Source organism: Homo sapiens, chromosome 7 (genome assembly GCF_000001405.40).
Source record: "Homo sapiens chromosome 7, GRCh38.p14 Primary Assembly".
Taxonomy (NCBI): Eukaryota; Metazoa; Chordata; class Mammalia; order Primates; family Hominidae; genus Homo; species Homo sapiens.
This window is the reverse complement of record NC_000007.14, coordinates 128328244-128341098: the sequence shown is the minus strand read 5'-3', so window position 1 is coordinate 128341098 and position 12855 is coordinate 128328244. Positions and strand designations below refer to the sequence as shown.

General features: G+C 40.7%; 1 protein-coding gene across 2 annotated transcripts in view; it reads left to right on the top strand.

The window, feature by feature from the left end:
- The window catches only part of RBM28 (RNA binding motif protein 28), a 46224-nt gene that overhangs the window by 2810 nt on the left and 30559 nt on the right, over nucleotides 1–12855 (top strand). Inside the window, exons 2-10 of one of the 2 annotated variants that reach the window (NM_018077.3) lie at nucleotides 1308–1466; nucleotides 1778–1872; nucleotides 2298–2373; nucleotides 2757–2849; nucleotides 3897–3968; nucleotides 5057–5252; nucleotides 5420–5556; nucleotides 7737–7809; nucleotides 10171–10280. In NM_018077.3, coding sequence (NP_060547.2) covers nucleotides 1308–1466; nucleotides 1778–1872; nucleotides 2298–2373; nucleotides 2757–2849; nucleotides 3897–3968; nucleotides 5057–5252; nucleotides 5420–5556; nucleotides 7737–7809; nucleotides 10171–10280 — 1011 coding nt within the window. The remainder of the gene's footprint in view (nucleotides 1–1307; nucleotides 1467–1777; nucleotides 1873–2297; nucleotides 2374–2756; nucleotides 2850–3896; nucleotides 3969–5056; nucleotides 5253–5419; nucleotides 5557–7736; nucleotides 7810–10170; nucleotides 10281–12855) is intronic. The other variant, NM_001166135.2, reaches the window with a different exon arrangement.

The following is a 12855-nucleotide window of genomic DNA, read 5'->3' as shown; positions in this document are numbered from 1 at the left end:
TCTGTCCTTTTCCTTTTTGATGCAATAAATTATTTAAAATTTTACTATACAAAATGTTAAACCAAAAAGGGCAAAGGTGGGTTACAGTTGATATTTGTAGTTTTCATCTCCTTGGTCCTAATATTATTCTTTGTGGAGTCCTATGGAAGAACATGGGGGCTGGTGAGGAGGAGTTAATTCAGCTACTAACACCCTGTGTGACATTAACCAATTCACTTACTGTCTTCCATCTCAAATTACTTACTTGGAAAGAAGGGGTGATAATATTTGCTTTACCTATTTTGAGGTGTTCTAAAGATAAAATGAGACAAGAATGCACAGCTGCTTTGGAAAGGTTTAATTTGATATCGACAGCTAAGGCGTTGGTAATAGTGGTCATAACATCTGCAGTCTCTCTGAGCAGTATTTATTGTTTGAGGTTCTTTTGTCTGGGCCTCAGGCATTTATTGCTGATCTATTTTGAGGAGTAACTGCATTATTGTGTTCTGATTTTTGAAGCTACCATACTGTCTTAATTCATTTTCTGTTGCTTATAAGAGAATACCTGAAACTAGGTACTTTGTAAAGAAAAATTTATTTCTTAAGTTCTGGAGGCTGAGAAGTCCAAAGTTTAGTGGCTGTATCTGGTGAGAGCCTTCTTGTTGGTGGGGACTCTGCAAAATGCCCAGACAGTGCAGGGTGTCATGGCGAGGGGGCTGAGCATGCTAATGTGCTTGCTCAGGTCTCTCTTCCTCTTCTTATAAAGCCCCCAGCTCCACTCTCATGATAGCCCATTAATCTATTAACCCATTAATCCATAAATTGATTAATCCATTCCTGAAGACAGAGTCCTCTGATCCAGTCACCTCTTAAAGACTCCACCTTTCAATACTGCTACATTGGGGATTAAGTTTCCAACACATGAAATTTGGGGGACACATTCAAACCATAGCATATACTTACCTTTCCTGCCTTCTTTGGTGATGTTTTGTTCTTTTTGATGTTGAGTTCTTTGAGGGCCTCATATGTCATGGATTCTCTGTTTTCTTGGGATTATCAAGAAAGGGGGAAGAAGGGGAGCTAACAGCAAAGACACTAAATTAAAAGAGGAGGAAGGCTAACAGTTTCTAAGCAAAGTGGGGAGGGAACCACTGATACCACCCTTGTTTCTCGCCCTCCTGAGACTTTTGGCAAACTGATAGCAAGATGGGTTGGCAGTATATCCTCTAGCTTAGGCTTTGAGGATTTACTCATTTAGTGCTCTTGGCTTATGATTCTCTCTCCTTTTCACACTGCCCCTCCACTCCCTCCCCACTCCATTATTCCAGGGAGTAAGGCATGTCGAGGCTTTGGCTATGTCACTTTTTCAATGCTGGAAGATGTTCAGAGGGCCCTCAAGGAGATTACCACCTTTGAAGGTTGCAAGATCAACGTGACTGTTGCCAAGAAAAAACTGAGGAACAAGACAAAGGAAAAGGGGAAAAATGGTGAGTTTCTAGTAATTGAAGGAAGTTTTTCTCCCAGGGTGAGGAGGAGCACTATGAAAATGAAAGAGGGAGGCATGGAGGTAGCTTCTAGAACTTAAAGCTTTTTGCATTTCTTTTTGATCTCCAAAATCATCCAGTGTATTGTGATACTCATTTTAGTTCTTTGGAAAAATCTGGTATTCCTTGGTATTATTGCCACACTTAACCCTGTGGTAAATGCCATCTGTCGCCAGTAGCTTTTTTTTCTGTGATGTTCTGGCGTAGAAGTGGGTGATTTTCGAGTACTTATTCCATTACCTCTTATTTTTTAGAAAACTCAGAGTGCCCAAAGAAGGAGCCGAAGGCTAAAAAAGCCAAAGTGGCAGATAAGAAAGCCAGATTAATTATTCGGAACCTGAGCTTTAAGGTAAGTGAGAGAGAAAATGAACATTGCATGTTTTGAAGGCTTTTAGAGCCAAGATGTGATCATTAGTAGAACTCCTCACCAAGATGGTATAATTGGGCTTAATTCCTTCTGGGAATCAACCTTACCCCTGTTGAATTCAGAAAGTGGGCCTGTGTAATAAGGGCACTAAGTGTGAAGCTGCTTTCCTTTTTGGGGAAACTACTACTGAGAAAGAAAAGGTAGAAAAAGTTCTCAGACGTCTGTGTTTTTGCCTCTTAGGTACAAAGTAAAATGTCTTCTATTTAGAAACATTTGATGTCCTAGTATCAAAAATAAAAAAAAGTAAACATTCATGTTTTTCATAATTAATGAATTTAGTAGTTGATGTTTTATGTTAATTTGCTGTGATTGTGTTTCTCTTTTTCTTTCTTCACTTTTGGCTTCAGTGTTCAGAAGATGACTTGAAGACAGTATTTGCTCAATTTGGAGCTGTCCTGGAAGTAAATATCCCTAGGAAACCAGGTACTAATAAACCTTCACTTGGTGTGGATTACGTTAGTTAACATATTACCCTTGAACAAACATATATGATATATATGAAGTATTTGGCACAGTGCTTCACATCTAATGAAAACCCAAATAATGGTTTTATTCCCCTGATGATATTTTCTGTTGGATCAGAATTAGTTTTAGAAGGCGAGTTAGTTTGAGAAAGTGTTTTGCTCTCCCCAAGTCCAAGTCAGAGTATACTCAGTAAGAAGATGTAAGCAATTGCTTTGGGGAAGGGCCTGACCTGCTGGCAGAATTTGGGCCATCTTGTGGGCCTGAATTGCAGTAATTTACTTCTTAGTATTCTGGCTACCTCCTGCTGCCTCTCACTTCTTTCTTTGTGCATTTGCACACAGATGGGAAGATGCGCGGTTTTGGTTTTGTTCAGTTCAAAAACCTCCTAGAAGCAGGTAAAGCTCTCAAAGGCATGAACATGAAAGAGATAAAAGGTAAGCTTTCTATACCCATATCATTGACCCAGATATTTCTGGTGTTTTGGTGAATTAGTGTAGTAACCCACTTTCTGCATTTTCAAAAGATGTTTGCATTATTAAGAGTCTCATTGCTAATACGGTAGCTATTTAGGTGAAATACTCTAGAACTTGATCTTGGGGTTAAACTTGAAAGAACCCTTGCCAGTATTCTTTCTTTTATCTGGTGAGAGTGTCCTTTTAAATCCCTAGTGAAAAATGTCCCTGAGATAATTGCTGATAGATGCAGGTTGGTATCTAGATTCCTCCTTGGTTATATCACTGTTCAGCATCTGTGGGCTATTTATTAAACTGACTGTGATTTATATATTGACTTATCAAGTACTGTGCCTAAAGAAGTTATTGCCGGCCAGGTGCGGTGGCTCACACCTGTAATCCTAGCACTTTGGGAGGCCGAGGAGGCAGGTGGATCACCTGAGGTCAGGAGTTCAAGACCAGCCTGGTCAACATGGCGAAACCCCGTCTCTACTGAAAATACAAAAATTAGCCAGGTGTGGTGGTGCATGCTTGTAATCCCAGCTACTCAAGAGGCTGAGGCAGGAGAATCGCTTGAACCTGGAGGCGGAGGTTGCAGTGAACTGAGATGGCACCACTGCACTCCAGCCTGGGCGACAGAGCGAGACTGTGTCTCAAAAAAAAAAAAAAGAAGTTATTGCCGTAGAGATGTCCTAGCTTCCAGGTAGGGTGCAGATGATTCCAGAATGCCTGTTTTGATTCCTGATAGTCTAACTGGAAACATAGTTCTAATTCTTTATTTTTTTACTCCATCTTATCCCAGGTGTGGTGGCTATGTAGAAAGGCAAAATTTCTGTTCATTGATAAAAAGGTTAAGGGTTAAAAGGAGTAGGCAGTGACTAGGAGCTTTATTTTAAGACCAGCATTCCCTGAATTGGCAGTTTCTTTGTCTCCACTGGTTCCATTATTGTCTGTGATGACTAGGGGTCATTTACAGAGGTAGGGTTTTTAAAAGGAGAGCCTTTCTGATGCCACTTTTCTGCTTGACAGGCCGGACAGTGGCTGTGGATTGGGCCGTGGCAAAGGATAAATATAAAGATACACAGTCTGTTTCTGCTATAGGTAAGATGTGGTAGTGTTGGGTGAGTAGGGGCGTTGTATAACCTGGGTGAGAGTATTGAAACAACTCCTGTGTTCATGATAAAAGTGTAAGAAAAAGGCTGGGTGCAGTGGCTCTTGCCTGTAATTCCAGCACTTTGGGTGGATTGCTTGCAGTCAGGAGTTTGAGACCAGCCTGGCCAACATGCAAAACCCCATCTCTACTAAAAATACAAAAATTAGCTGGGCTTGGTGGTGGGCGCCTGTCATCCCACCTGCTTGGGAGGCTGAGGCAGGTTCTTGAACCTGGGAGGCAGAGGTTGCAGTGAGCCGAGATCACCCCACTGCACTCCAGCCTGGGCAACAAAACGAGACTTCGTCTCAAAAAAAAAGTGTAAGAGAACCTGCTTATCAGAGTAAGACTATTGTGGAAGATTAACCAAAAGAATGAGACTGGGCTTTCAGGGAAAACTCTGAATTCCTGCTGGCTCAGAAGTGAGTCCAGGTCTGTTTGTCAATTCATATTGTACCATTTGGTGCTCTGGTCCCAAAACCTAGGCTCTTTTGAGTCTAAGCCCCTTCCTGGGAGTGGCTGTGAGTGAGCCTGAGTTCACTGTCCCCTTTACTTGCTGTTGTTTCCAGGCTGTGCATAATAGGAGTGATGGAACATTAAGAATAGAGAAACTTAAAACTTGAGGTTTATTTAGAAAACAATTGGCTGGTAAGCCACCAGGGTCTCAGAGAATAGAACGCACTGAGATTAAAGTTCATGGCTTGGCTTTGCCCCCTAGTGAGCATTTTGCTGGCTATGATGTACGAATGGTAGACTGCTTGGAGAGGCTCAGTTGCCACTTCTTTCAGTCTGGGCCAGATGAACCTTCAGACTGATGAATGGGACAAACTCTAAAGGAATCTGGGTGTTGAGAGTTTTGTTTATTTCTGTTTTTGCTTTTTCTTTTCTTTATACTTTCTCCTGTTATATGCAGTAAGAAAAATATACGAAATTCTGTAAAACCGATGAAACCAAGAACTTGGAGTATTGGTTACTTTTGTTAAAATAACATTGTTTTGGATATTAAATGAATTCCTCCTTTCTTTACCTCCCTCCATAGGTGAGGAAAAGAGCCATGAATCTAAACATCAGGAATCAGTTAAAAAGAAGGGCAGAGAGGAAGAGGATATGGAAGAGGAAGAAAACGATGATGATGACGATGATGATGATGAAGAAGATGGGGTTTTTGATGATGAAGATGAAGAGGAAGAGAATATAGAATCAAAGGTGACCAAGCCTGTGCAAATTCAGAAGAGGTAAGCAGCTCATCCTGTTCTGAGACAGCAGAGGAAGATTCAAGATTGTCTCCGAGAGGAAAAATTCTCCTTTTTCTGCCTGCATCATTGCAGAATTGACATGTGTAATGAAATTGAATAGGCCCTCTGTCAGCCCACCTCCTTAGTTCTGATCTGTGCCATTGCAGAGCAGTCAAGAGACCAGCCCCTGCAAAAAGCAGTGATCATTCTGAGGAGGACAGTGACCTAGAGGAAAGCGATAGTATTGATGATGGAGAGGAACTGGCTCAGAGTGATACCAGCACTGAGGAGCAAGAGGATAAAGGTTTGTTTGGATTTTCATAAATGTCTTTAGACTTTAAAAAAGTTACTGAAGTTACGGAAATGAGCATCAGTTCTGCTTAGATCTCTTTTTAAATAGGACTCTAAGGTGTTCTATCAAATTTATGTTTAAATGCTGAAAAGGAAACCTTTATACTCCTTTCTTCCAAAGGTTTTTTTGTTGTTTCCTTTTTGTTTGTTTTGTTTTTTAAGTGAGTTTTGGAGTGGTGTTTGAGGGTTAAGATTCTTAGGGAATTGAAAACCTAGCTTAATGCTGAGGTTCTACCTCTCTCTGGATTGTCCAACTTGATAGAATAACCAGGTAAACAGCATCTTATACAGATAATATAGATGAAACAGATGATATAACCATCTCAACATCAAGCTAGATTTTAAACAACTCCTTGGAGTTGAGATGGGGATAAAGAACTGTTTAGTCAGTTTGGACTGACATAACAAAATACCATAAACTGGGTGGCTTAAACAGCAGAAACTTATTTTCTCACAGCTCTAGAGGCTAGAAGTCCCAGGTGCCAGCTGATTCATTTTGGGTGCAGCTCTCTTCCTAGCTTGCAGACTGCTGCCTTCTCGCTATGTGCTTGCATGGCCTTTTCTTTGTGGCTTGACGAGGGGAGAGAGAGAACAAGTAACAGTGAACTCTGGTCTCTCTTTTCTTATAAGCACAGCAATCCTATCAGATTAGGGCCCAACCTTAAGACCTCATTTAGCTAGCCTCAGTTACCTCCCTAAAGTCTCTGTCTCCAAATACAATTATATTTGGGGTTAGGGCTTCAATGTATGAATTTTGGGGGAACACAGTGCGTTCCATAACAAGGACCTCTTTGAACATGTTGTAAAACTTTAGCCAATCCTTATTGCTACCTTTATTGAGAATAAATTCAACTTGTTTATTGAGGAAGGCAGGTCATTACAGAATGAGAAATGGCTAATAACTGGTTCTTTGATTTGTCTGGGTGGAGATTTTTATTTCAGCTGTTTTTATTCTGATTCCATTTCAGTAAGTCTGACATGTTGGTTTGACCATATAAGAAATCTGAGGAAATAAGCTTTTTCTGTGAGGAGAGAATGGTATACACCTTAGAATCAAAGAAGCTTCTACACTGAAGGGACTCTGAGATCCTGTATTCTACAACCCACAGTCAGCTGTCTCATGCCATTCTTTCACCTAAAAAACTTATAGGACAGATAAATGATAATGATAAAAAGTTAAAACACAACACAGAAGAGTGTAATACACAAAGTAGAAGTTTCTCACCAATCCTAACAATTCCCTGAAGTAATCACTGTTGTTTCTTGTGCATCCTTCCAGATATTTTCTTTGTATGTATAAGCTTATATGTCTGTTCTTGAAAACAAACAGTGAGTCTCCCTTATACCCAGATCCTCAGCTTCTTAGGGAACTTCCCCAGAGACAACCAAGGTTATTTGTTTCTTGTGTATCTATAGATATTTTAATACATTTATAAGCAAAATGCACACATATACACACACATATACACATTCAAAATGTAGTGTATTTTATAATTTGTGTGTGATTGTATGTGTATGTTTTTTCCTCAAAGTTTCCTATGTCCTATACAGTATTTCCAGAAAGTTTACACTGTCATAGTAGTATATGGAAATGTCTTTTTCCCATAACCTTACCACATTGGATTCCATCAGTCTTTTTGATTTTGCAATCTGTTGGTGAAAAATAGTATCTCATTTCTTGTGCTATGTTTTCTTTAATTAAGAGTGAGTTTGAACATCTTTTCATATACTTAGCATGTCCTTTGTCTATTTTTATTTTTATTTATTTATTTTTTTTGAGACTTTGTTTCGCTCTTGTCACCGTGGCTGGAGTGCAATGGCTCAATCTTGGCTCACTGCAACCTCCACCTCCCAGGTTCAAGGGATTCTCCTGCCTCAGCCTCCTGAGTAGCTGGGACTATAGGTGCCTGCTACCACGCCTGGCTAATTTTTGTATTTTTAGTAGAGACAGGGTTTTGCCATGTTGGCCAGGCTGGTCTCGAACTCCTGACCTCAGGTGATCAGCCCGCCTGGGCTTTTCAAAGTGGCATGAGCCACTGCGCCAGGCTTATCTTTATGTACTTAAGAAGTTAGCTCTTTGTCATGTGGCTTACACTAATCTCTTTCAGTTTGTTGTTTTTCTTTTTACCTTAGCTGTGCAAGTCTCAAACAAAAAGAAGAGGAAATTACCCTCTGATGTGAATGAAGGGAAAACTGTTTTTATCAGGTATGTCTTTCTGCCTCCAGAATTGCTTTTGCGTGGTCTTCATAGATCTCTCTTCCTTCTTCTTCTCTTTTTGGCACTAGTTCTGTTACCTAGCCCAGAAATTAGATCAAGCACATCTGGTCCCAGGAACATACTAAACAATGAGAAATGTAGGACAATCAGAACTATAACACAGAAGACAGATAGCATGGGTCCTGACATCACGTTTTCATTTAGATTTCATGCTTTGTAATTGGGTTGGCATCATTTGGAAGAAATCAGTTCAACTGTTAGAAACATCTTGCTTCCGGCCTTTGTTTTAGGGGGAGTGCTGGAGAGGATTGACACTGCTTGTCTCAAATGATTTCTGTCTTTATGCCTAACTTATCTTCTGATGCAGTGTCCAGAATAAAGTAAGGCATCTCATCTGTTTCCAGGAAAACTAGGTGGGAGTGGGGGTGGCAATAGGCTTTATTTCGTGTTGCTGTTGTGTTTTAGCTCTACTGACTGCAATAGATTGCTGCTTTTATGAGGTCAGGATGTCTTCAGTATACCTCAGGCCTGCCTTCTAGTCCTTAAGTACCAGTGTACTAGGGTCATTTGCATCCGATTTTAGAGTTATATATTTTATCTTCTTGTACAATCTTTTAGAATTATTTTCTTGGGTGCGGTGGCTCAGGCCTGTAATCTCAGCACCGTGGGAGGCTGAGGCAGATGGATCACTTGAGGGCAATTCGAGACCAGCCTGGCCAACATGGTGAAACCCCATTTTTACTAAAAATACAAAAATTGGCCATGCATGGTGGTGTGTGCCTGTAATCCCAGCTACTCGGGAGGCCTGAGGCACGAGAATCACTTAAAACGCAGAGGTGGAGGTTGCAGTGAGCTGGGATTGTGCCACTGCACTCCAGCCTGGGCGACAGAGCAAGACTCTGTCTTAAAAAAAAAAAAAAATTTGTTTTCTTATACAATTTGTGTTCATTCTAGGAAATTGATGAAATACATGAGCAAAAAGTCAAAAAAATTAACCTTAATCACTACTCAGAGAACATCTACACTACATGCCCACATCATAAAGATTCACAGAGATGAATTTATACATGCTATACTGAAGCCCATTTTCTCACCTAACTGCATGTCTTTCCATGTGTTTTAAAAATTGTATTATTTGGAACTGCCATATAAATGATTTTGTATTTGCGGAGGATCTGTCTAACAGGAAGGAAGAAATGTCACAGTGAAGAAGAAGCCTGTGACCTCAGTACTAAGGATACCATTCCTTATACACCTTTTAATAAAGAACTTAGGGAAATAAAGGGGTGGAAGAGAGAAAACTATGTCTATCTTAGATAAGGCAAATTAAAAGAAATAATGTAGCTAGGATATGTTTTATTGCAGAAAACCTTTTTTATCTGGGTTATCCATGAAATAGAATCATTCATGGGGCTATTCAGTGCATATAAGAGAAGTAAAATTACAGATACTTATTAGGGACTGTTTTGCTTACCCCTGGAAGGATTTACATAGTTGGGGAAATGAGGAATCTTTATACTGTGTTGAAATTTTAGGACAACAAAATTTCCTTCCAACATTTTTTTAATCCCATCGAGAGAAGTAAGTAGTTGTCTTTTTTTGAACTTAGTAAATTTTACTGTATTTGCTTTTGTGTTACTATTTTGAGGGATTTTTCTGACTTTAGTAAGATTTTAATTGAAACCTGGATTTAATAGCAACACAGAGGAAAAAATGGCTAATTAAGAGAGATAATTTGACTTTTCTCACTAGTCTGCTGTGAGTCTTCTAGTTTGTAGTAAGAGAAATGAATTTTGGTCAATTTAAGTGGAAAAAGAGGGTTTCAGAATCAAAGTTGTCAAAGAGCAAGCCTCAGGAAGAGGGTGAAAATCTGGGCAGTTCTGGGGCCCTAGGTGATGGAGGCTGTGGGTCTTTTCTCTGGGGACACCACTTTTTTTTTTTTTTTTAAGGTATAACATAGATTCTGTAAAGTACATTAATCTAAGCATATAGCTCAGTTAAAATTTTATATGTATACATCCATGTAGCCACCACCCAGATCAAGATGTAGAAATTTCCAGCACCCCAGAAGTTTCCCTAGTGGGGGGCACCGCTGTTTAGAAATGAATCTTTACCTGCAGTTTCTGGTCTTTGTATGTGTCTGTTTACGTTTTCAGATTCCTGAGAAAGAGAACCTCATTGACAAAGGAAAGTCAGTTGGGGCCAAGGGTCACTGGGGGCCATCCCTATGTATTAGTGCTATTTCTGAACAAGGGAGAGTTGATATCTAACTCACTTACATTGTCCTGGAACATAGGATCTCACTTATGTAATTGACTTTTCTTGTGATCATCTGGTTATCTTCCATAGAAATCTGTCCTTTGACTCAGAAGAAGAAGAACTTGGGGAGCTTCTCCAACAGTTTGGAGAACTCAAATATGTCCGCATTGTCTTGCATCCAGACACAGAGCATTCTAAAGGTATGTGTTGTCAGCTGGCCAGGCCCTAAAAGGGTTGAGACCACTGCCGTGGGCACTGACTAGGTTACGAGAGCATAATGTGTGCCATTTTGAGGGGTTCACAGTCCATCCAGCCCAGGTTTCTGGGTTCTATAAAAGTACCAGGGACGCCGGGCACGCTGGCTCACGCCTGTAATCCCAGCACTTTGGGAGGCTGAGGCAGGCAGATTGCCTGAGCTCAGGAGTTTGAGACCAGCCTGGGCAACACGGTGAAACCCCGTCTCTACTAAAATACAAAAAATTAGCAGCGTGCACCTGTAGTCCCAGCTACCTGGGAGGCTGAGACAGGAAAATTGCTTGAACCCGGGAGGTGGAGGTTGCAATGAGCCGAGATCATGCCACTGCACTCCAGCCTGAGCCACAGAGCAAGACTCTTGTTTCCACGAAAAAAAAAAAAAAAAAAAAAAAGGACCAGGGACATCCTGGTCTTTAATGGTGTCACACTCAGCATCTTTAATGGTGCTGCTAGCCATAATTTTGTCTAAGCTTTTTAATCCCTTGCTTATTTACTTTAGGGTAATGAATTCCATTTTTGCTCTTTGCATTTCAAATGTGATAGTATCTCATAGGTACTAATCATTCCACATTGCTTGAAATTACCAGGATCTTTTTTTTTCCTGTTGCTTTTGTTAGAGGTAGAAGCTGACAGAAAAACTCTGTTGCAGTGTCAGCCGTTAGAAGGAAAACTCTATGTTGCAGGAGTGCTGCCTTAGATTTCTTTTTTTTTCCAAAAGCTATTTCTTTTGAGTTTTAAGCATTGACCATTCTTCGTTCTAGTATACTGTTGTTAGGTAAACATCTTTCCAACCCATTCATAATCTTTGATTTCACCTATTGCAGTCATTCTCCTAAAGCACTAAGTTCTTTTTTTTTTTTTTTTTTTTTTTTTTTGAGACGGAGTCTCACTCTGTTGCCCAGGCTGGAGTGCAGTGGCGCCATCTCGGCTCACTGCAAGCTCCGCCTCCTGGGTTCACGCCATTCTCCTGCCTCAGCCTCCTGAGTAGCTGGGACTACAGGTGCCCACCACTGCACCCGGCTAATTTTGTGTTTGTATTTTTAGTAGAGTTGGGGCTTCACCGTGTTAGCCAGGATGGTCTCCAACTCCTGACCTTGTGATACACCCGCCTTGGCCTCCCAAAGTGCTGGGATTACAGGCGCGCCCGGCGTTAAGTTCTTAATTTATTGTGATTCATGATTCGTTTGAGATCTAGCAAAAGCTGTGAATCCTCTCCTTAGAAAAATGCTGCTTCGGAGGCTGTGTGGGCTCTCTTGAGCCTATCCACAGCTTAAGAACCTACCTCCATTCTAAGCCTTTTTATCTTTCACATTGATAGAACCTAATCACTTTTGATTTTTACTCAGCTAAAAAAAAGTAAGACCTGGCCGGGAGCGGTGGCTCACGCCTGTAATCCCAGCACTTTGGGAGGCTGAGGCAGGCGGATCACCTGAGGTCGGGAGTTCAAGAGCAGCCTGACCAATATGGAGAAACCCCATCTCTACTAAAAATACAAAATTAGCCGGGCGTGGTGGCGCATGCCTGTAATCCCAGCTACTCGGGAGGCTGAGGCAGGAGAATTGCTTGAACCTGGGAGGGGGAGGTTGTGGTGAGCCGAGATCGTGCCACTGCACTCTAGCCTGGGCAACAAGAGCAAGACTCCGTCTCAAAAAGAAAAAAAAAAGTTTAAGACCTGGTGTGTGCCTGAAATCCCAGCTACTCAGGAGGCTGCGGGGAGCCCAGGAGTTAGAGGCTTCAGTGAGCTATGATTGCCACTGCACTCGAGACTGTGAGACAGAACAAGACCGCCTCCATCTCTTTAAAAAAAAAAAAAAAAAGATGTGAATAAGGCAGCACTGTGGAACAGAGTTAGAGATCTAATCCCAGCTATGCTACAGATAGACTGGGTGATTTTTGGCAAATCATTTAACTACCGTTGGCTTCAGGTTTTCATCTGTAAAATGAGTGGGTTTGAGTAATCACTTAAGGTACCTGCAGCTCTCATGTTTAGTTATACTACTTGGATCTTTTCCATTTCTAAAATGTTTTTAGACAATTTGAATTGCATAGAATGTTCCAAGTTAGTGGTATGATATTGCTTTACTTTGGTGGTAGTATCTTTTGTCTCTTTTTTAGTGCAGTAGTATATTGGGTTAATACTTTTAGAATGAAGCCTACAATTGACTGACTAGATATCCCTTGCGGTCTATTAATGTTAACAGAGTTCATGATCTTAATAAGCATAGTTTTAATCATTTAAAAAAAATGTATTGTCCTTCCCTAGCTCATTAAATTTTTCTGATACCTTTTTTGCCTACTCATGCAGCCTCGTGCTGCTCCTGTAGTTTATCCCTCTCAGCATGCCATTTCACTACCTGGAAGAGCTAAGTATTAACTGCAGTCTTTTAGGGAAATGTTAAGACTGAACCCAGTACTGACTCTGGAAACTCCAATGATAAAATTCTTACCCATTCAGAGAGAAGCACCCATTTTCTTCATATTCAATCTAATTAGATTCATTTGAATCTGCCTATTAGAAAC